This window comes from Homo sapiens, chromosome 2 (genome assembly GCF_000001405.40).
Source record: "Homo sapiens chromosome 2, GRCh38.p14 Primary Assembly".
Classification (NCBI taxonomy): domain Eukaryota; kingdom Metazoa; phylum Chordata; class Mammalia; order Primates; family Hominidae; genus Homo; species Homo sapiens.
The window spans coordinates 110,189,394-110,213,283 of NC_000002.12; the positions used below are offsets into that span (position 1 = coordinate 110,189,394).

At 42.1% G+C, this 23,890-nt stretch overlaps 2 protein-coding genes across 12 annotated transcripts in view, besides 2 other annotated features; both read right to left on the minus strand.

Moving 5' to 3' along the window:
* Positions 1-15,620, minus strand: part of NPHP1 (nephrocystin 1) — an 81,666-nt gene extending 66,046 nt beyond the window's left edge. For all 11 annotated transcript variants that reach the window (NM_001128179.3, NM_001374256.1, XM_005263677.2 and 8 more), the window contains exons 1-2: positions 15,507-15,620; positions 12,028-12,101 (exon numbers count right to left, since the gene is read on the minus strand). In NM_001128179.3, the coding sequence (NP_001121651.1) occupies positions 12,028-12,101; positions 15,507-15,575 (143 nt within the window). In that variant the 5' untranslated portion in view covers positions 15,576-15,620. The remainder of the gene's footprint in view (positions 1-12,027; positions 12,102-15,506) is intronic.
* On the minus strand, positions 22,136-23,154 carry MTLN (mitoregulin). The gene is made up of 2 exons (NM_001384134.1): positions 22,822-23,154; positions 22,136-22,229 (listed from the first exon to the last, which is right to left on the minus strand). Exon 1 carries the CDS (start codon positions 23,130-23,132, stop codon positions 22,962-22,964), a length of 171 nt encoding a protein of 56 aa, NP_001371063.1. The 5' UTR covers positions 23,133-23,154; the 3' UTR covers positions 22,136-22,229; positions 22,822-22,961.
* Positions 23,057-23,306: an enhancer, noted in NCBI's record as "active region_16369". NCBI's record gives its function as "activates an Ori minimal core promoter by ATAC-STARR-seq in GM12878 lymphoblastoid cells {active_cell/tissue: GM12878}" and the evidence as "EXISTENCE:reporter gene assay evidence [ECO:0000049][PMID:35858748]".
* Positions 23,407-23,456: an enhancer, noted in NCBI's record as "active region_16370". NCBI's record gives its function as "activates an Ori minimal core promoter by ATAC-STARR-seq in GM12878 lymphoblastoid cells {active_cell/tissue: GM12878}" and the evidence as "EXISTENCE:reporter gene assay evidence [ECO:0000049][PMID:35858748]".

Genomic DNA, 23,890 nt, shown 5'->3' on the forward strand with positions numbered 1-23,890 from the left:
GAGTGTTACAGCTCTTAAGGCGGCACGTCTGGAGTTGTTCATTCCTCCCAGTGGGCTCATGGTCTCGCTGACTTCAGGAGTGAAGCTGCAGACCTTCGCGGTGAGTGTTACAGCTCATAAAGGCAGTGTGGACCCAAAGAGTGAGCAGTAGCAAGATTTATTGCAAACAGCGAAAGAACAAAGCTTCCACAGTGTGGAAGGGGACCCAAGCGGGTTGCCATTGCTGGCTCCGGCAGCCTGCTTTTATTCTTTTATCTGGCCCCACCTACATCCTGCTGATTGGTCCATTTTACAGAGAGCCGAGTAGTCTGTTCTGACAGGTTGCTGACTGGTGCGTTTACAATCCCTGAGCTAGACACAAAGGTTCTCCAGGTCCCCACTAGATTAGCTAGATAAAGAGTGTCCACACAAAGGTTCTCCAAGTCCCCACCAGAGTAGTTAGATATAGAGTGTCGATGGGTGCATTCACAAACCCTGAGTTAGACACAGGGTGCTGATTGGTGTGTTTACAAACCTTGAGCTAGATACAGAGTGCCGATTGGTGTGTTTACAATCCCTGAGCTAGACATAAAGGTTCTCCAAGGCTCCACCAGAGTAGCTAGATACAGAGTGTCAATTGGTGCATTCACAAACACTGAGCTAGACACAGGGGGCTGATTGGTGTGTTTACAAACCTTGAGCTAGATACAGAGTGCTGATTGGTGTATTTACAATCCCTTAGCTAGACATAAAGGTTCTCCACATCCCCACCAGACTCAGGAGCCCAGCTGGCTTCACCCAGCAGATCCCGCACCAGGGCTGCAGGTGGAGCTGCCTGCCAGTCCCACACCGTGCGCCCGCACTCCTCAGCCCTTGGGTGGTCGATGGGACTGGGCACTGTGGAGCAGGGGGTGGCACTTGTCAGGGAGGCTCGGGCCGCACAGGAGCCCACAGAGGGCGGGGAGGCTCAGGCATGGCGGGCTGAAGGTCCCGAGCCCTGCCCCGCGGGAAGGCAGCTAAGGCCGGGTGAGAAATTGAGCACAGCAGCTGCTGGCCCAGGTGCTAAGCCCCTCACTGCCCAGGGCCGGTGGGGCTGGCTGGCTGGCCGCTCCAAGTGCAGAGTCCACGGAGCCCACGCCCACCCGGAACTCACGCTGGCCCACAAGCACCGTGTGCAGGCCCGGTTCCCACCCGCGCCTCTCCCTCCACACCTCCTCGCAAGCTGAGGGAGCTGGCTCCGGCCTTGGCCAGCCCAGAAAGGGGCTCCCACAGGGCAGCGGCAGGCTGAAGGGCTCCTCAAGTGCCGCCAAAGTGGGAGCCCAGGCAGAGGAGGCGCCAAGAGTGAGCGAGGGCTGTGAGGACTGCCAGCATGCTGTCACCTCTCACTATCATCAGAATGAACAGACAACCTACAGAATGGGGGAAAATGTTTACAATCTATCCATCTGATGAATGTCTAATATCCAGAGTCTAAAAATAAGCAAATTTATAAGAAAAAAAAACCCCATTAAAAAGTGAGCAAAAGGACATGAAGTGACACTTCTCAAAAGACACACATTCAGCACAGTGAAGTACCATCTCATGCCAGTCAGAACGGTGATTATTAAAAAGTCAAAAAAACAGATGTTGGCAAAATTGCAGAGAAAAAGGAACACTTGGGGCGGTTCCAAGATGGCCAAATACGAACAACTCCAGTCTACAGCTCCCAGAGTGAGTGACGCAGAAGATGAATGATTTCTGCATTTCCAACTGAGGTACTGGGTTCATCTCACTAGGGACTATCAGACAGTGGGTGCAGGAAAGTGGGTGCAGCACACCGAGCATGAGCTGAAGCAGGGCGAGGCATTGCCTCACCCGGGAAGCACAAGGGACAAGGGAATTCCCTTTCCTAGCCAAGGAAAGGGATGACAGACAGCACCTGGAAAATCGGGTCACCCCCACCCTAATACTGCGCTTTTCCCACAGTCTTAGCAAACGGCACACCAGGAGATTACATCGCGCACATGGCTCAGAGGGTCCTACGCCCAGAGAGCCTCGCTAATTGCTAGCACAGCAGTCTGAGATCAAACTGCAAGGCAGCAGCGAGGCTGTTTGTTAGCCATTGCCGAGGCTTGAGTAGGTAAACAAAGCAGCCTGGAAGCTCAAACTGGGTGGAGCCCACCGCAGCTCAAGGAGGCCTGCCTGCCTCTTTAGAGTCCACCTCTGGGGACAGGGCATAGCCAAACAAAAGGCAGCAGAAACCTCTGCAGACTTAAATGTCCCTGTCTGACAGCTTGGAAGACAGTAGTGGTTCTCCCAGCATGCAGCTTGACATCTGAGAACGGACAGACTGCCTCCTCAAGTGGGTCCCTGACCCCCAAGTAGCCTAACTGGGAGGCACCCCCCAGTAGGGGCAGACTGACACCTCATACAGCCGGGTACTCCTCTGAGACAAAACTTCCAGAGGAATGATCAGGCAGCAACATTTGCTGTTCACCAATATTCGCTGTTCTGCAGCCTCTGCTGCTGATACCCAGGCAAACAGCGTCTGGAGTGGACCTCCGGCAAACTCCAACAGACCTGCAGCTGAGGGTCCTGACTGTTAGAAGGAAAACTAACAAACAGAAAGGACATCCACACCAAAACCCCATCTGTACATCACCATCATCAAAGACCAAAGGTAGATAAAACCACAGAGATGGGGAAAAAACAGAGCAGAAAAACTGAAAATTCTAAAAATCAGAGCGCCTCTCCTCCTTCAAAGGATTGCAGCTCCTCACCAGCAACAGAACAAAGCTGGACGGAGAATGACTTTCATGAGTTGAGAGAAGAAGGCTTCAGATGATCAAACTTCTCCGAGCTAAAGGAGGAAGTTCGAACCCGTGGAAAACAAGTTAAAAACCTTGAAAAAAGATTAGACGAATGGCTAACTAGAATAACCAATGCAGAGAAGTCCTTAAAGGACCTGATGGAGCTGAAAACCATGGCACAAGAACTACGTGACGAATGCACAAGCTTCAGTAGCTGATTCGATCAACTGGAAGAAAGGGTATCAGTGATGGAAGATCAAATGAATGAAATAAAGCAAACAGAGAAGTTTAGAGAAAAAAGAATAAAAAGAAACAAACAAAGCCTCCAAGAAATATGGGACTATGTGAAAAGATCAAATCTACATCTGATTGGTGTACCTGAAAGTGATGGGGAGAATTGAACCAAGTTGGAAAACACTCTGCAAGATATTATCCAGGAGAACTTCCCCAATCTAGCAAGGCAGGCCAACATTCAAATTCAGGAAATACAGAAAACGCCACAAAGATACTCCTCGAGAAGAGCAACTCCAAGACACATAATTGTCAGATTCACGAAAGTTGAAATGAAGGAAAAAATGTTAAGGGCAGCCAGAGAGAAAGCTCGGGTTACCCACAAAGGGAAGCCCATCAGACTAACAGCTGACCTCTCAGCAGAAACTCTACAAGCCAGAAGAGAATGGCGGCCAATATTCAACTTCTTAAAGAAAAGAATTTTCAACCCCGAATTTCATATCCAGCCAAACTAAGCTTCATAAGTGAAGGAGAAATAAAATCCTTTACAGACAAGCAGATGCTGAGAGATTTTGTCACCACCAGGCCTGCCCTAAAAGAGCTCCTGAAGGAAGCACTAAACATGGAAAGGAACAACTGGTACCAGCCACTGCAAAAACATGCCAGATTGTGAAGACCATCGAGGCTAGGAAGAAACTGCATCAACTAATGAGCAAAATAACCAGCTAACATCATAATGACAGGATCAAATTCACACATGACAATATTAACCTTAAATGTAAATGGGCTAAATGCTCCAATTAAAAGACACAGATTGGAAAATTGGATAAAGAGTCAAGGCCCATCAGTGTGTTGTATTCAGGAAACCCATCTCATGTACAGAGACACACATAGGCTCAAAATAAAGGGATGGAGGAAGATCTACCAAGCAAATGGAAAACAAAAAAAGGCAGGGGTTGCAATCCTAGTCTCTGATAAAACAGACTTTAAACCAACAAAGATCAAAAGAGACAAAGAAGGCCATTACATAATGGTAAAGGGATCAATTCAACAAGAAGAGGTAACTATCCTAAATATATATGCACCCAATACAGGAGCACCCAGATTCATAAAGCAAGTCCTTAGAGACCTAGAAAGAGACTTAGACTCCCACATAATAATAATGGGAGACTTTAACACCCCACTGTCAACATTAGACAGATCAACGGGACAGAAAGTTAATGAGGATATCCAGGAATTGAACTCAGCTCTGCACCAAGTGGACCTAATAGACATCTACAGAACTCTCCAACCCAAATCAACAGAATATACATTATTCTCAGCACCACACCACACCTATTCCAAAATTGACCACATAGTTGGAAGTAAAGCACTCCTCAGCAAATGTAAAAGAACAGAAATTATAACAAACTGTCTCTCAGACCAAAGTGCAATCAAACTAGAACTGAGGATTAAGAAACTCACTCAAAACCACTAAACCACATGGAAACTGAACAACCTGCTCCGGAATGACTACTGGATACATAACGAAATGAAGGCAGAAATAAAGATGTTCTTTGAAACCAACGAGAACAAAGCCACAACATACCAGAATCTCTGGGACACATTTAAAGCTGTGTGTAGAGGGAAATTTATAGCACTAAATGCCCACAAGAGAAAGCAGGAAAGAAATAAAATTGACACCCTAATATCACAATTAAAAGAACTGGAGAACCAAGAGCAAACACATTCAAAAGCTAGCAGAAGGCAAGAAATAACTAAGATCAGAGCAGAACTGAAGGAGATAGAGACAAAAAAACCCTTCAAAAAATTAATGAATCCAGGAGCTGGTTTTTTGAAAAGATCAACAAAATTGATAAACCGCTAGCAAGACTAATAAAGAAGAAAAGAGAGAAGAATCAAATAGATGCAATAAAAAATGATAAAGGGGATATCACCACCGATCCCACAGAAATACCAACTACCATCAGAGAATACTATAAACACCTCTATGCAAATAAACTAGAAAATCTAGAAGAAATGGATAAATTCCTCGACAAATACACCCTCCCAAGACTAAACCAGGAAGAAGCTGAATCTCTGAATAGACCAATAACAGGCTCTGAAATTGAGGCAATAATTAATAGCTTACCAACCAAAAAAAGTCCAGGACCAGATGGATTCACAGCCAAATTCTACCAGAGGTACAAGGAGGAGCTGGTACCATTCCTTCTGAAACTATTCCAATCAATAGAAAAAGAGGGAATCCTCCCTAACTCATTTTATGATGCCAGCATCATCCTGATACCAAAGCCTGGCAGAGACACAACAAAAAAAGAGAATTTTAGACCAGTATCCCTGATGAACCTCGATGCAAAAATCCTCAATAAAATACTGGCAAACCAAATCCAGCAGCACATCAAAAAGCCTATCCACCATGATCAAGTGGGCTTCATCCCTGGGATGCAAGGCTGGTTCAACATACGCAAGTCAATAAACGTAATCCAGCATATAAACAGAACCAACGACAAAAACCACATGATTATCTCAATAGATGCAGAAAAGGCCTTTGACAAAATTTAACAACCCTTTATGCTAAAAACTCTCAAGAAATTAGGTATTGATGGGACGTATCTCAAAATAATAACAGCTATCTAAGACAAACCCACAGCCAATATCATACTGAATGGGCAAAAACTGGAAGCATTCCCTTTGAAAACTGGCACAAGACAGGGATGCCCTCTCTCACCACTCCTATTCAACATAGTGTTGGAAGTTCTGGCCAGGGCAATCAGGCAGGAGAAGGAAATAAAGGGTATTCAATTAGGAAAAGAGGAAGTCAAATTGTCCCTGTTTGCAGATGACATGATTGTATATCTAGAAAACCCCATCGTCTCAGCCTATAATCTCCTTAAGCTGATAGGCAACTTCAGCAAAGTCTCAGGATACAAAGTCAATGTGCAAAAATCACAAGCATTCTTATATACCAATAACAGACAGAGAGCCAAATCATGACTGAACTCCCATTCACAATTGCTACAAAGAGAATAAAATACCTAGAAATCCAACTTACAAGGGATGTGAAGGTCCTCTTCAAGGAGAACTACAAACCACTGCTCAATGAAATAAAAGAGGATACAAACAAATGGAAGAACATTCCATGCTCATGGGTAGGAAGTATCAATATCGTGAAAATGACCATACTGCCCAAGGTAATTTATAGATTCAATGCCATCCCCATCAAGCTACCAATGACTTTCTTTACAGAATTGGAAAAAACTACTTTAAGTTCATATGGAACCAAAAAAGAGCCCACATTACCAAGTCAATCCTAAGCCAAAAGAACAAAGCTGGAGGCATCACGCTACCTAACTTCAAACTGTACTACAAGGCTACAGTAACCAAAACAGCATGGTACTGGTACCAAAACAGAGATATAGACCTATGGAATAGAACAGAGCCCTCAGAAATAATGCCATATATCTGCAACTATCTGATCTTTGACAAACCTGACAAAAACAAGAAATGGGGAAATGATTCCCTATTTAATAAATGGTGCTGGGAAAACCGGCTAGCCATATGTAGAAAGTTGAAACTGGATGCCTTCCTTACACCTTATACAAAAATTAATTCAAGATGGATTAAAGACTTAAATGTTGGACCTAAAACCATAAAAACCCTAGAAGAAAACCTAGGCATTACCATTCAGGACATAGGCATGGGCAAGGACGTCATGTCTAAAACACCAAAAGCAATGGCAACAAAAGCCAAAATTGACAAATGGGATCTAATTAAACTAAAGAGCTTCTGCACAGCAAAAGAAACTACCATCAGAGTGAACAGGCAACCTACAGAATGGGAGAAAATTGTTGCAATCTACTCATCTGACAAAGGGCTAATATACAGAATCTACAATGAACTCAAACAAATTTACAAGAAAAAAACAAACGACGCCATCAAAAAGTGGGCAAAGGATATGAACAGACACTTCTCAAAAGAAGACATTTATGCAGCCAAAAAACACATGAAAAAATGCTCATCATCACTGGCCATCAGGGAAATGCAAATCAAAACCACAATGAGATACCATCTCACACCAGTTAGAATGGCGATCATTAAAAAGTCAGGAAACAACAAGTGCTGGAGAGGATGTGGAGAAATAGGAAACTTTTACACTGTTGGTGGGACTGTAAACTAGTTCAACCATTGTGGAAGTCAGTGTGGCGATTCCTCAGGAATCTAGAACTAGAAATACCATTTGACCCAACTGTCCCATTACTGGGTATATACCCAAAGGATTATAAATCATGCTGCTATAAAGACCCATGCACACATATGTTTATTGTGGCACTATTCACAATAGCAAAGACTTGGAACCAACCCAAATGTCCAACAATGATAGACTGGATTAAGAAAATGTGGCACATATACACCATGGAATACTATGCAGCCATAAAAAATGATGAGTTCATGTCCTTTGAAGGGACATGGATGAAGCTGGAAACCATCATACTGAGCAAATTATCACAAGGACAGAAAACCAAACACTGCATGTTCTCATAGAATACTGTGCAGCCATAAAAAGGAACAAAATCATGTCCTTTGGAGGGACATGGTTACAGTTGGAAGTCATTATCCTCAGCAAACTAATGCAGGAACAGAAAACCAAACTCCGCATGTTCTCACTTATAAGTGGGAGCTGAATGATGAGAACACATGGACACAAGGAGGGTAACAACATACACTGGGGCCTGTAGGAAGGAGGTATTAGAGGAGGGAGAGCATCAGGAAGAATAATTAATGGATGCAGGGCTTAATACCTAGGTGATGGGATGATCTGTCCAGTAAACCAGTATGGCACACGTTTACCTATGTAACAAACCTGCACAATGCCATACATGTATCCCTGAACTTAAAGAAAAAAATAAAAAACAGTAATAAATAAAAAACGTTTTAAAGGGAACAAAAGTCCTTTGTCAAAAGGGTAGCAAAAGAGAAGGGGAAACATCAAACTGGGGCTGACCCTACTAGCAACCTCCCCAAAAGCCCCTTTCCCACCCTTCCTCTTTGCTGGCAGTCAGCTTCCCACTGGCACCTATGTTCTCAGCCTCCACTGCAGGCAGGGTGAGCAGGGGGCCCACGGCTGCCAGTGTAACATAAAACACGTATATTGGGATTGCCTCCCATTTTATCCTCCCTTACCAGGCATGAAAAGAATCTCTCCTACATCTGCTCTTAGATACTGAGGGTATGGACTTTGTAACCATGAGGAGAGACATCACCAACAAGCAAAGGATGGCAGAGTGGAATGACATCAAAGGCTGGTCTTTGAGGATATCACAAGCCATGAATCCACCCTGAGAGAACCTAGCTGCAGGCTTTTGTCAAATGAGACTGACAGTAAAGCCGCTTATTTTGGCAGGTGTCATGTTACTTGACCAAAAAAATCTCTACTGAAACTTAGACTCAGAAATTTCGCTTAAAGCCCAGAGTGGAAAACTATTTTAATATAATGTACCAAGAAAATAAATTACTTATTACAATTACCTCCTTTATAACTATGTAATTATTAAAATCCTCAAACAGTTGATATTTTAAGACTCCTGGTTCAGGATAAAAACTAAGCACACATTCATCTTCACTGGCTCCTGAAACCCCACAAAAAATGATTAAAACGTTTGAAAAGGTAACAAACTCTGAACACTGCAAAGAAGGAAAGAAGGACAACTAGCCAGCAAGAGATTTCAACAAATTTCTGCTCCATGGAAAAAGGCTGGAAGCATGTTCTCCTATAAAGGGTGGAAGACGCAACACAAGCATAAGAGGGAGATAATCTGCCAGGCCGAAAACTCTAGGACTTGAGTCAGCAGACATAAAGGACCAAAGGTTAACTAAACTAAATCATAGAGGGACACATTATGAAATTCTGCTGATGAAAAGACATGCACAGTGGCTGGGGTTTACTTTATAAATTATCTAATATTATTGTGTTATATTGTGTAAATTAAATCATATGCATACATCTAAGCTTTGAGGAGGGAAATCAATGTTAAAGCAATCTAAGGTCTTTATATTAGTCAAGGGAAGATTAATGATACTGATTACGTTTAGATTTAGTTGGGGTTCTTTCTTTTAAAAGTCTATTTACAGAAAACCTGAGCCAGTTAGCTCCCTTTTCCCCTCTCTGCTCTCCCTCCTTACCAGGGGATTCTTCCCTAAAAACAAAAAAACAAACAAAAACAATTAACAAACGACCTGAAGAGAATCATGACTGCTAAAGAAGTTTCCCATACACCAGGGTTAGAGCCGGCCCTATTCTGGCACTGGGGGATCCTCAGACTAAAAGCTACTTCCGAGCCTCTGATAAGCCCTATCAACATACAAAATTTCATTCTTATTCAGGGGATGGTACTAGCAGGAAGGACCCCTCTCTATCTAACAGTAGAAAAGCCCATGAGAGCTCTCTGGAATAATCAACCTAGTCCCTCATTGTTCAATAAAAATAGATAAGCCAGACCTAATAAAGAAAACCGGCAACGTGAAGATAAAATTTAAGAATAACCAAATATAAATTAATTAATTAACTAATTAAAAGGAATCTGAGCCCAGAGAAAGCAAAGACAATTCAGAGAACAGAAGAGAACTTAAGGAGAAAAAAAAAGCCTCCTAGTCATGGAAGTAGTAAGAAGGCAATCAATATGAAAACAGGAACATGATGCTATGAAAAAAGAACAATTCGAGAACAAGAGAAAACACTTGTAAATTAACAACATGACTGATGATGGCCAGGCACGGTGGCTCACGTAATCCCAGCACTTTGGGAGGCCATGATGGGTGGATCACCTGAAGTCGGGAGTTTGAGAGCAGCCTGGCCAACATGGTGAAACTCCGTCTCTACTAAAAATACAAAAAATTAGCCGAGTGTGATGGCGTGAGCCTGTAATCCCAGCTACTCAGAAGGCTAAGGCAGGAGAATCGCTTGAACCCAGGAGGCAGAGGTTGCAGTGAGCCAAGATCATGACAGAGTGAGACTCCATCTTAAAAAAAAAAAAACCAATATGACTGCTGAAATAAAACAATATGGCTGTTGAAATAGGTAATAAAGAAAAGTGTTAAAGTCAAGAGAATTGCTAGCATGGTAGCTCGTGGCGGGGGAGGGGGGCATCCCTTGAGCCTGGGAGGCAGAAGGTGCAGTGAGCCATGATTGTGCCACTTCATTACAGCCTGAACGACAGAGTGAGACCCCCCACATCCCCCCAAAAAAACATCTCCCATACAAACAAAGAAACAGAAACTATTAACAGGAAGTTATGGGATATAGAGGATCAGTCCAGGATATCCAATACCTGACTCAAAGGTGTTTCAGGAAGAAACAGACAAATGGAATTAACGAAATAATCTTTTTGTAAAATAAAATCTCCCAGAGCTCATGAGACATGAGTTTTCAAACTGAAAAGACTCAGAGCACTGAGCAGATAAAAATGATACCTAAATGACATTTTCAGATATGCAAATGTCAAAGTGAGTTTTTAAATGACAGTAACAATCTTCTTTTCATGCACAGAGAAGACTATGGTTACTTGGGCTTAAAAATAATTATTAGGGGCCGGGCGCGGTGGCTCACGCCTATAATCCCAGCACTTTGGGAGGCCAAAGCAGGGGGCATGAGGTCAGGAGATTGAGACCATCCTGGCTAGCACGGTGAAACCCCATCTCTACTAAAAATACAAAAAATTAGCCAGGCATGGTGGCGGGCACCTGTAATCCCAGCTACTCGGGAGGCTGAGGCAGGAGAATCGCTTGAACCTGGGAGGTGGAGCTTGCAGTGAGCCGAGATCATGCCACTGCACTCCAGCCTGGGCGACAGAGAGAGACTCTATCTCAAAAAAAATAAAACATAACAATTATTAGGCTGGGCACAGTGGCTCACACCTATAATCCCAGCACTTTGGGAGGCCAAGGCTGGGGGATCCCTTGAGGTCAGGAGTTCGAAACCAGCCTGGCCAACGTGATGAAACCCATCTCTACTCAAAATACAAAATCCAGCCAGGTGTGGTGGGGCACGACTGTAATCCCAACTACTCAAGAGCCTGAGGCAGAAGAATCGCTTGAACCTGGGAGGTGCAGGTTGCAATGAGCCGAGATTGCGCCACTGCACTCCAGCCTGGGTGACAGAGTGAGATTTAGTCTCAAAAAATAAAATAATAATAATTATGATTTTTAGTTTACTAACATAAAATTTAAAAACGTAGTTTTCCCTTGGCCTTCAAATTCAGTCTATAAATCTTACTCTGTTTTTAAATCTAGTAAAGCAAGAACAATAACCTTTGCTTTTCTTTCATTACTGTTAATTCAGCTTGAACTAAATCCCTTAATCAATCCTACTATTATAAATTAAATTCATTTGACATTTCAAAATTCATTTGTTTTGCCTTTAAGCACTCTGAATGCCTGACTTAAGTAAAACTTCTCCAAACAATTACAATTCACTTAAATTAATAGAATGAATCTCATGTTCTTTGGAATGTAATAAAATCCTTAAATATCTCAAAAACAAAGATTATCTTAATGATGTCCTAAACTTAATACAAATGTTATGAATTAATAGTCTAAATTTGATGTAGTTCATCACGTCTATTTAAACTCTCCCAAGGATTTTTTTTTAAGTAAAAACAAATACAAAACAAAAAACACCCACCTAGAAAACAGTGTTGTCTTCTCATGGGAGTTAAAGTTGACATCCCAATGAAGTACTAATTGCTTATAGACAGAGGTTTCTGACCAGGTCACAGGATCTGGGCTACATAGGCTAAGGATTTAGGGTAATCCTGCCCATGTCACCTATGTTTACATTAAGCAGTTTTTATAGTTGCTGTCACAACAGCAAGTCCGCAACCATCAGGTTTAGGTTGGTTTCTTCTACATTCAACTTACAACACTATGTGATTCTTCCATTTGATTCCAAAGGACCAATCTCTATGCCTTAAATACTATGCATTGAAATGTAAGTGCGGTTCCTGTAAAGCTTATATAATTTAGCATACTTTACCTTTGATAAATATGTTGTCTTTTATTGGGTTCTAGAGCTTCTTTCAGTTGGCTCTCAGAAAGCAAACTATCAACCTATGGAGACCATTTAAAATATCACATTATTAAATACCATATCGCCTTAGGAAAGAAAACTTCTTTTTTTATCCAATATTTTATAATGAACACTTTTAAACATACAACAAAGTTTTAAAAATTTTACAGTGAAAACCCATATACCCGCTACCTAGAAAAAACATTAACATTATACTATACTTATTTGATCTATCCGTCAACCCACCTTATGCCTTTCAAAGTAAGTTGCAGTTATCAATACATTTCTCCCTAAATAATGGACTATGGATGTCACTAACTAAAGTTCAATAGTTGATGTAAAATATGTATATAGTGAAATGCACAAATACGAGGCATACATTTGCTGAGTTTCGACAAATGCATACATCTGTGTAACCAAAATTCTTATCAAGATGTAGAAAACTACCATCACCCTAGTAAGTTCCCTCATGCCCTTGCCAGTAAATCCCCTCCTTATTCCTCCACAGACAAACCTGTTTTGATATTTTTCCAACATAAATTAGTTTTGCCTGTTCTTGAAATTTTATATAAATGGACTCATACAGTAAGCACTCTTGTGTAACCTTTCCACAAAGCATGTTTTTGAGATACTTCCATATTGTTGTGTGTACCATTAGTTCATTCCTTCTCATTACTGAGTGGTATCCATTGTATTGAATGTATCATGACTTTGTTTCTCTTGACTTAGTAGTTTGTTTACTAACACTATATGTAACTTTGTCAATATACTCTCCAAAAAGGCACATACTTCTTTGGTCTGTTTTCTATAGATTACGTAGAGAAGATAAAGTGGATGAAAAAAGAGAAAATTCCATTAGTTTCTTCTCTACTCTTGCAATTTGGCATCCATCTGAGTGTTATTTACAAAATTCACACACCTAGTGATAGAGCCAGTCATCACAGGCCTGACTCAGAGGGGCTGTTGATTACTTGTCCTACAGACACCGAATAGAAAATCTGTTCCATATTCAGCTTCAGGTGTCCTCTGTGAAGACAGGGAAGAATTAGCTAATACTATCAAAACAAACTTTCCAGATAGTCAAGGTATCAAAAGGCTCCAGAGCCAATATTTCTCCAGGGAGAATAATCTTTCTAATAGTTTGTTTTAATAATCATTTTTATAGTTTCCTTCTAAAACTTTTCCTGGTTCTCCTAATGTCCCACTAAATTTAAAATTAACTCATCATGACTAATCATCAGAGAAATGCAAATTAAAACTACAATGAGGTACCATCTCACACTGGTCAAAATGGCTATTATTAAAAAATCAAGAAATGACAGATTCTGGTGAGGCTGACAAGAAAAGAGTACACATATACACTGTTGGTGGGCATGAAAATTAGTTCAGCCACTGTGGAAAGCAGTTTGGAGATTTCCCAAACAACGTAAAACAGAACTATCATTTGACCCAGAAATCCCATTTCCGTGTATATACCCCCAAAAAAGAAATGATTCTACCAAAATGTCACATGCATGTGTATGTTCCCTACAGCACTATTCACAATAGCAAAGACATGGAATCAACATAGATGCCCACCAATGGTGGACTGGATAAAGAAAATGTGGTACATATACACCATGAAAAAATATGCAACCATAAAAAAGAATGAAATCATGTCCTTTGCAGCAACATGGATGGAGCTGGAGGCCATTGTCCTAAGTGAATTAGCATAGGAACAGAAAACCAAATACCATATGTTCTCACTCGTTGAGTACACATGGACATAAAGATGGGAGCAATGGACACTGGTGACTGCTGGAGTGGGGTGGGGGAGGGAAGAGGAATGAAGACTGAAAGACTGCCTATTGGGTACTGTGCTCACTGCTTGTGTGATAGGCTCATCTGTACCCCAAACCTCAGCATAACACAGTGTTCCCATGTGACAGACCTGCACATGTACCCCCTGAATCTAAAATAAAAGTTGAAATTTTAAAATAAGACACAGAACCATATTAAGATCCACCGAAGTTCAGCATAAGTCAATGCCCCATCAAGTTTTATTTTTTATTTCTACCAGAAGAGTATTTAGCTTTTGTTGCACCACTGTGATTCCAATACACAGTCACCTAAATATTTACCTTCCAAATCCTTTTTACTTTAAACAAGAGAACAAAAATGGATAAAATATGAGCATCAGTGAATCTCTTACCGGCCTCAGATTATAAAATAATTTTACTCAGTGGAAAAATACTTGGTAATAGATCACATGAAAAAAATTAAAGTGAAATTAAAATGTCAGAAAATAAACCCACTGGTTGCTATTTACTTTTTTCTTATTTTTAATAAGAACTCAGTGTATTTTTAAAAAGTTTTTTTTTTTTTGAGACCAAGTCTTGTTATGTTGCCCAGGCTAGTCTCGAACTCCTGGGCTCAGGTGATCCTCCTGTCTCAGCCTCCCAAGTAGCTGGTACTACTAGCATGAGCCACCACACCTGGCCTAAAAATTTTTATAAATATGAAAAAGAATAAAGAAAATCATAATAATCATCAGCATCCTGTCACACAGAAATACCATATTAGCCTGTTCCCTTCTATGCTGTTCTGTGTATATTATATAAGTAACAATGTGATGAATACTTTTATACATCAATCTCTGTCCTACTTTCTAATTATTACACATAGCAGATCCCTGGAAATGTAATTTTTGAGCCTAGGTGCATACACATATGTTACACCTTGTCAAGCTGCTTTCCTGAAATGCTGTACAAGCACCTTATACACGGGAGCAGTGAATGTGCCTGCTTCATCACACCTTCCTCAAGACAGAGTGTTGTGATTTTTAACATTTTTGTGATACCTTATGTGCTTTGCAATTACTTGAGTATCTTTGAAGTTAACATTCCTCGTATGTTTATGAGTTACTTGTATTTCCTCTCTCGTTCACCTCCTTTGCTCATTTATCAGATCTTAATGTTCTTGCATATTAAGACTATTTCTTGACACCTATTTCGCTTGAGTTCACGGAGGCAATAATAATCTCCACTTGAGGAAGGCTGAAAGGAAATGGGCTTGGAAAGTGGAGGAGAGGAGCTAGGCTCAGAGTTGGGTTGGAAATGGTTACACCACTAAGTTTAGATTGGGAGATAAGGTGGGTTAGTGAGTTGTTAGGGTAGGAGGTTGAGACGTTAGGTGGGAGTGAGGGTCGGAGGAGGGGGCGCTTAGTTGATGGTCACGAATTTTGGGAGGTTTCGCCTTTGGCTGGGGGTTGAGTTGGGATCAGGAGGGGTTTGAATCGGGGTTGGGTGCTGGAATGTTATGGGGTAAGGGGGCGTTACAACCTGGGAAGGTAAGTAGGTTGGGGGCAAGCTCCCAGGATTAGGTGGGGTCACGGTGGGAAGGCGCAGTGCGCGCAGCTGCGTCCGCCTGTCGCCCGCCCCAGGGCCCTCTGCACAGCCTGACCATACCTGTTGCTTCAGCTCCTGATTGCGGCGCCGCAGGGCCTGGAGAGGATCTCGCTGTCGTCTCGCCAGCATCTCCCTGGCTGCGGTGCTCTGATTGCTCCAGTTGCCAGGGAAACCAACCGGCGGCGCCAGAAGGTGACGCCATCGATGTGCGCCCGCCTCCCAGCCCCGCCCCGCCCGGGCCGGTCCCGGGAAGGGTCAAATGTTCTCTTGCGGTGGTCATCCCACGCCACCAGGCAGGTCACAGCCGGGGGAGTCACTTTTCCTCGGCAATTCCTAAGGATAGGGGAACGTCCCCCGGCGTCTGAAACTACATTCCCCACAATACATCAATAATAACACCACCTTCTTGCTGGGATACCTGTTTTATGGCATTTGCTTTCTGATACCAATTTTGTAAGCTAATGTTAAGATACAATTTTAGTATCTTAAACTCTTTCATTAACTCCAAGGATAGCTTTCCTATGGAATATATGGTTCTGTTCCATACTGTCACTTCAAAAGGCAGTTTTTAATTCTTTGCCATTTAGGCTACTGAAGTTTCATTTCATTCTAATATTGCACGTTGTCAATTCTGAATTCTGTAAGGATGGTAATTGTTCTACAGCAAATCTATGAGCAAATTATTAGTTCTCATTATGATTCCCAGTTTACATCAACTCTCAGGAAGGTTGTCATGTTTCCCCCATATGGGACTGCATCCCATGAATCCAATTCCAAAACTCCACTACACCAAAATTGAACTTGAATAAGAATGATGATGCTTGGGGCTCACCTTCCAAATGATGGACCCCATTAATACAAATGAATGTTCTTCAGAACAGCCACAGGCCAGGATGAACCATTATTTATGTACTTTTTTCTTCAAGTATAATACATACAGAGAAAAGTCTACAGACTTTGTGTGCAGCTCTGAAAACCCTCCACCCCATAACAGCACCCAGATTATGAAACAGAACATTATCTGCCCACTCACACTCTTCCTGTCTTTCTAGTCCTTGCCTACCCCCAACCTCTCAACCCTCTCACTTCTCTACCACACACCAAAGGTGAACAATATCCTAACTTATAAGAGCACAAACTTGTGTTGCCTTTTTTTGTACTATACAATGAAATTATGCACTGTGTGGTGGCTTCTCCTGTCCTTTAAATATCACATTTGTGAGATGCATCTATACTGTGTGTGTCTGTAGTCTGTTCATTCTCATTGCTGATATTTCACATATGATATACCCTAACATACTGATTCTACTGTTGCTGGGTAAGTGGGCAGTTTCCAGCTTAGGGCTAGTATAAATAGCGCTGCTAAGAACGTCCTGGTGCAAGTCTTCTGGCAAACACATAACACTGCTGAGTCACAGGCATGTTATACGTCAGCTTTAGTAGATACTACTACCTGGTTTCCCAAAATGGTACTAATTTATACCCTATCAGCAGTGTATGAGTTTTTGTTCTTTATGTCCTTGGCAAGATTTGGTATTGTCTGTTTTGTTGTAATTCATGTCTTATTTTGAATTAATTTCTCTATTATGGCTTATGATAATTAGTTCACTTAAATAGTCAAACATAGGATTTCCATTAAAAATCTTTACAACAAATGAGAAAATGCTATAAAATATTTCTAAGTGGATTATTAAATCAATAATTACAGGTGATGAGATGAGCAAAACGAAAAAAATTGCTCTAAAATACAGCTATTACTTATGAAATTCTCAGTCTACAAATAAATTAGAAAAAATTATTCTGCATCTACTTATTTATAGGGATTTCCACATTTTAAATGGAAAAGTTAATAGCATCATGGATACAGTTTAATTCTGTTGGTAAAAATAAACTAATAACCCCCCCTAAATATGTGTGAATATATGAACAATAAGGAAAGGTGCAAAAAAAGTGTATTACTCATTCACCTCAGGTGTGAAGATGTTTGACTTTATACATTTTTGCATCATATTGTTTCGGTTACAAGTATTCATTACTTGCGATTCCTAGATCAGCATCATCACCACCTGGGACCTTGTTAGAAATGCACATTTTCACATTTTCAGCCCCACCACAGTCCTAGGAGAATCAGAATCTGTATTTTAACAATACCCCAGTGTTTCATGTGCACATTCAAGTTTGAGAAGTACCACTGAGGTATTCAGTGTGCTATAAATGATATGATTACTCAGCTAATGATTTTTCACTAATAACTGTAATATTCAGGACAGTCACATTAATACTAGTCATTGCTCCTCTGTAGTTATACCTTGATGCCATTATAAAAAACAACATAACCTAAAACAAGAGAGATCTGCAGTGAGGTAGCCAAAAGAAACTAAAGCAAACCATGGCCAATGTTTCTCCTGAGAGCAAGCTACTTCATAAAACTCATCATGATTTCTATCAGTGTGTTAAAATGAGTAACAATTTTGAATTGCTTCCTCACAGGTCATACTGAAAAAGAATTTAACAGCTTCCAAGAGACTCATAATGTAGACAGAACCAGTGGAACAAGACGACTTGGAATCAATAAAAAGATTATAGCAAAGAGAATAGAGAAAGTGTGCAGTTTTAGGGCCTTAAAAGAAAATTCAGGCTGGGCACGGTGGCTCACGCCTGTAATCCCAACACTTTGGGGAGCCGAGGTGGGTGGATCACCTGAGGTCAGGAGTTTGAGACCAGCCTGGCCAACATGGCGAAACCCTGTCTCTACTAAAAATACAAAAATTAGCCAAGTGTGTTGGCACATGCCTGTAATCCCAGCTACTCAGGAGGCTGAGGCAGGAGAATCACTTGAACCTGGGAGGTGAAGGTTCCAGTGAGCTGAGATCACACCAGTGCACTCCAGCCTGGGCAACAGAGTGAGACTGTGTCTCAAAAAAAAAAAAAAAAAAAAAAAAAAGAAAGAAAGAAAGAAAGAAAAGAAAAGAAAAGAAAACAATCCACCTCAAATAAAAATGACAAATATATACCTTGGTGCAAGGCACTGTTTAGGCCTGTGGTACAAGATGTTTAATACTGCTCTCAAAGAGCTTCCAAGCTACAGTAATAGACTAGAAACATGAAAATTGTACCAACCACTTACCACAGAAGTGCTACCTGGTGTACAGAATTCCCCGCCAAATGAACAGCTTATGATTAAATACACTGAGCTCTACAGTAAGGTCATGCATTGAATATGTCCACTAGACAGCTGAAAGGGTGAAGCTGGAATTGAAGGAAAGGATCAGAGGGAGGGGGCTCTGCTTGGATGTGCTAGTTAAGCCAAGAGAATGGCTAGGGTAATCACAGGAGAGGACAGGGCAGAGAACCAAGGCAAAAGTTTGAGGAACTTGAGAAAGGCAGCAATAGTAGCAGTTTGGAAACTCAATAAACTTTTGTATTAGAGAAGCAAGGGAAGGAGAATTTCAAGGGACAAAGTGGCCTCATCAAATACCCTCAAGGTAAAATGTGAGGATTCAGAAGAGCCATAGATATTAATGTTTCTGGAAGGTGCAGAGGGCAGATCACAGCAGACCAATGGGCAAAATATTTGGAAAGAAAATATTGGCAAATGATAACATCAACTAAAATAAATTTTAAGTCAAAATCCATGCATTTGTTAGCCAGGCATGGTGGCAGGCACCTGTTATCCCAGCTACTCGGGGAGGCTGAGGCACAAGAATCGCTTGAACCCGGGAGGCACAGGTTGCAGTGAGCCAACATCACACCACTGCACTCCAGCCTGGGGGACAGAGTGAGACTCCGTCTCAAAAAAAAAAAAAAAAAAAAAAAGAAAAGAAAAAATATGCATTTGTAAATAGAAAGCAGGCAGAGACTGCAGACGCAACAGAGATGATGTACTGGAGAACAAGAAAGGTCCTGAGGGAGATGCAGAATTCTGCAGAGGCCAAAGAGGAGACAGCCTTGGAAAGGGCCCGTGTGTCTTCTCTCCTGGTAAAGGAAACCTAATGAGACAGAGCTTCAAAAACAGTAGTTTTCAACCTCAGGTGACCATCACAATCACCTGAAGAACTAAAAATTCTAATACCCAGGCCATATTCCAAATGACATGAATCAAAATGTCTGGACAGTGGCATGCAAGAATTAGTATTTTTAAAGCTCCCTAGATGATTATAATGTGTAGCCCTGTTGAAAACTACTGCTCTAGACAAAACTATTGAGTAGGATGAAGGAATTCCCAGCTAACAGCCTTTATCTTCTCATATGGTTGATCTACTAGGAATGAAAGGCATCAAGAAAACTGGGAGTTTCAGGAACTCAGGTGCTAAGAAATGAGACAGATGCAGTCACAATAGAACGAATTTGTAGTGAGCCAAGTGAGAAAGGTGAAGTCTTTCTTTCAAGTTCAGTGGCTCAAAAGAGCAAAAGCAGTGGTGAAGGTAAATGTACAAGAAGGGATGGAGTCTAATCTGACCAGGGAGCCCAGGATGACTTATGAGGTTAACTGGAAGGGTGAGACAACTAATAGTCTCCAGAGTGGGCAGTTCTATAGGAGATGTAGAGGATGTAAGCTGTCCTAATGAGGTGGCGTTACCCCGAGACTAAACAGACAAGTACAATATAAAAAAGTCCAAGCCTGTTGATGATAAGGTCCGGAGTATGGCTGAAGCAATGTGGAATAGAACAGGTGGTCTGGGAAGCCCATATTGGGGGAGAAAAGGAGGCAGGGTAGGGTAGTAAAAGTGGGCCAAGACATGTAGATGCCATGACTAAATGGCAGTGAAAAATGGAGGTGGGGGAATATAGATTCAAGGAGTCAACAGTGTGTCATTTCCAAGTTATGACTGGCACTGACTCCTGGCTCCCAACTTTCCATTTCCAGTTTTGGCTAACGTAGGAAAAGTACTATCTCCACAGTATTTTGGGGGGGAAAAAACTACCACATTTAAGTAGAGCAAAGGTAGAAAAAGTGACAGAGGTAACGTCAAAGGTAACTGCCCACTACAGAACTGGGGAGTACAGTCACAGTGTAAAAAGGTAGTAAGCAGAAAACTAGAAAATTAGGAGCAGCACAGAGTGGCTAAAAATCCCATAAGGATATGGACAGGACTCGGAAGTAACACATGCCCAGAGGCAGGGATACCTAGAGGAGAGACAGGAGAGGGGCATGACTGTGTCAGGGTGCTGTACATAAGCAATGAGAAAGAAAGAATCAACATTGGAAGGACCAGGTCCACCAGGAACATGGCACAAGAATGGGTCCAAACAGGCAGAACTAGGCCAGTCACAATCCAGATGCTTAACCAGGCACATTCCAACAGTTTGGGGGTAATATGTCCCTCAAGAAACCTACCTTGTCTCAAAGAGTCTCAACTCTTGGAGCCTCAATTAGGGGTGGACACTAGGAAGCTTCAGCAAACTGCGGCCCAGATGGGACTGAGCTCCAGGAACCATTTCAATCCTTGACTACTACATTCGCAGAATGAAAACAAAGTTGGAGGTAATAAGGCATAATAGCCCCACTAAAATGGGGGGACGGTGGCGGGTGCTTCATGTGGAAACAACTTTCCTATGTTAACATGAGGTTGAGACACGGAATTAATCTTTGTAGGAATGAGCAAGGGTGGTGTTCTAGAAACACTCCTTGCAAATCAAAGGAACCAGGCACTCACTCTTGATTTTTAGATATAGGTAGGATTTATCACTAAGCTCTGTTCAGGAGGGTTTCTCCTTCATGTGTATTCCATAATGACACGTAAAAGAGATTTTTGCCAATAAAAACTTATACACTGGCCATGCACAGTGGCTCATGCCTGTAATCCCAGCACTTTCAGAGGCCAAGGCCGGTGGATCACCTGAGGTCAGGAGTTCGAGACCAGCCTGACCAGCATGATGAAACCCCATCTCTACTAAAAATACAAAAATTAGCCAGGCATAGTGGCACATGCCTGTAGTCCCAGCTACTTGGGAGGCTGAGACAGTAGAATTGCCTGAACCGAGGAGGCAGAGGTTGCAGTGAGCCGAGATTGTGCCATTGCACTCCAGCCTGGACAACAAGAGTGAAATTCTGTCTCAAATAAAAAAGAAAAAAGAAAAAACTTATACTCTGTACTTGGAACACACTGTTTCGTTTTGGGTTGAGACAGGGTCTCGCTCTGTCATCCAGGCTGGAGTGCAGTGGTGAGATCACAGCTCACTGCAACCTTAACCTCCTAGGCTCAGGTGATCCTCCTGCCTCAGCCTCTGGTTTACAAATTAGCTGGACTCACAGGTGTGTGCCACCACGGCCAGCTAATTTGTAAGTTATTTGTAGAGACTGGGTCTCCCCATGTTGCCCTGGCTGGTCTCCAACTCCTGGGCTCAAGTGGTCCTCCCACCTCAACCTCCTAAAGTGCTGGGATTATAGGCCTGAGCAGGGCCAAGGAATACACTGTTACTCTTGGAAGTTCAAAGGTCTTACATATAGCACCCTTACCTCAGTTATGTTTACACAGCCCCCTGCTTTCCAAAAAGTTCGGTAAAAGAACCCATAATGGTCCCACGGCCAAGTCTGCTTTGTGCCTGTACCAAAGAAGGGGCACGAGTTACATAACACATCTGCTCAAAAACACTAGTAAGTCAGTTTTGAAAATGCAGATCTCTTGATGCAGTAAGGTGCAAGAAAAACATGATACTTCCCCTTATGAAAAAATAAAAGGGTCAAAGATGTTTAATTTTTTTATTTTAAAAATAAAATTGATTCATAAAGTGCAAGAAGAAGTCATTTCTTTCCGGTAGTCTATATGCATCTTCAACAAGCTGTTAGAAACAGAAAAGAGAAAAAAATTAGAAATACACAATCTGAAACTTCAAGCCGTACTGTGGTATTAAACCATGAACCATAAGATCTGGTTTACGACAAGAAAACTGAGGTCCTGAAAATTGATCATGCACAGCTCTTCTGAAGAGCTAAGACTGGATGCAAGGTTCCTGACTTCCAGGCCACTGCTCTTTCCACTTTACCAGGCTGCCAACAACCTAAGAATTCAGTTTGGAGTTTACAATCGCCAAGGCGAAGATGTGCTAACAAGGATGTTACTGAAAAGAATTGGGGGTGGCAAGATCACCTCCCTGGTTCTTTTTTTCTTTTGTTCTTTCCAGTATTTTCTATACTGATGTTTAATGTTGTCAGGATGAACGACGACATAGCACGTTGGTAAGACATTCTCATTAAACACCCAGTGAACCAAACCAAGATACCGAAGAGCAAGTTATCAGGGAAGACAAAACTTCCACCTTCTGGTGTCTGTGGGAACAAGTCCTGTCTTCTGCGACCTAGCCAGAGTTGATCCTAAGATATCCGCCCGACCCCAAAGTCTCCCTTTGCAATGTCACTATGTGTACTGCTCACCAACACTCCAGGAAGAGCCGGCCATGGCAGGCGGGGACTGTGTGGCAAGCCTGGTTCTGGGCGCCGGCGGACCGGGGCTCCGGCGCGGACATGGCAAGGTGGCCATGAGGGGGACAGAATGGGGCGGAAGGCGCAGAGTCTCAGGCCAGGTCCAGCTTCTTCTGCGTCGCCGCCAGCTTGTCCTGCAGCCTCCTTTTCCTCCAGTCCAAGTAGCGCCTCCGCAGTCGGTTCGCCTGCCAGCCCAGGAGTACTCCAGAAGCGAAGGCTACTAGCACGGACAACTGCAGTGTCCTCTCTGACACATCCGCCATGGCTGCCGCCGGCGTGCAGCGCGGTCTACGGCGCGGCGGCGGGGTCAAAAGGCGCCGCGCGTTCAAGGGTGGGGCGTGAGACAAAAATGAAGCGAAGGCGGCGAGGCGTTGGATCTCTCGAAACTCACTAATAGTCCCATCTGTCTCGCCTTCAACTGAAGACTTTCCCAGGCTTTGGACGACCCCACCTTCCACTTTCCTGAACCCCCACATTTCTTGTTGATGCCTTACATCATTAGCTAACATTGGGGGCGTATCTTGCTCACCCGACTGTAAGCTCTTCACCGCTCTGTATTTTCTCTCAGCAATAGAATGGGAGTGACTGGCGTAACTTTAAATTTTCTGGTAACCTGTTTTTTAAAAAATAAAAACAAAAACATGGAATTGTTTTTAATAATATATTTACTTATCCCAACATATAGGGGATGTTATCATTTCAACATGTAACTCGTTTTTAAATTATTAAGGAGATGCTTTATTTTTTTCATACCAAGTCTTTGAAAACTGGTCTGTATTTTACAGCGAAAGGCACATCTCAATTTGAACACTGAATTTTCAATGGAGATACCTATCAGTGTCTAGATTTCATAAAATGTACAGTTGAAAAAGTAGATTTATATACCCAAGCTGTTCTAAAAACACAAACATTTTTCCAATAACCGAATGGAGTACCAATTTAAATTTAAATTCATTAAAATTTTTTAAAAATTATAAACTCAGTTCTTCAGTCACACTAGCCATATATGGGACCAGTGGCT

Bases quoted from the DNA above. Each gene is read 5' to 3' on its own strand.
- MTLN (NM_001384134.1), bottom strand. From the start codon at position 23,132: ATGGCGGATGTGTCAGAGAGGACACTGCAGTTGTCCGTGCTAGTAGCC.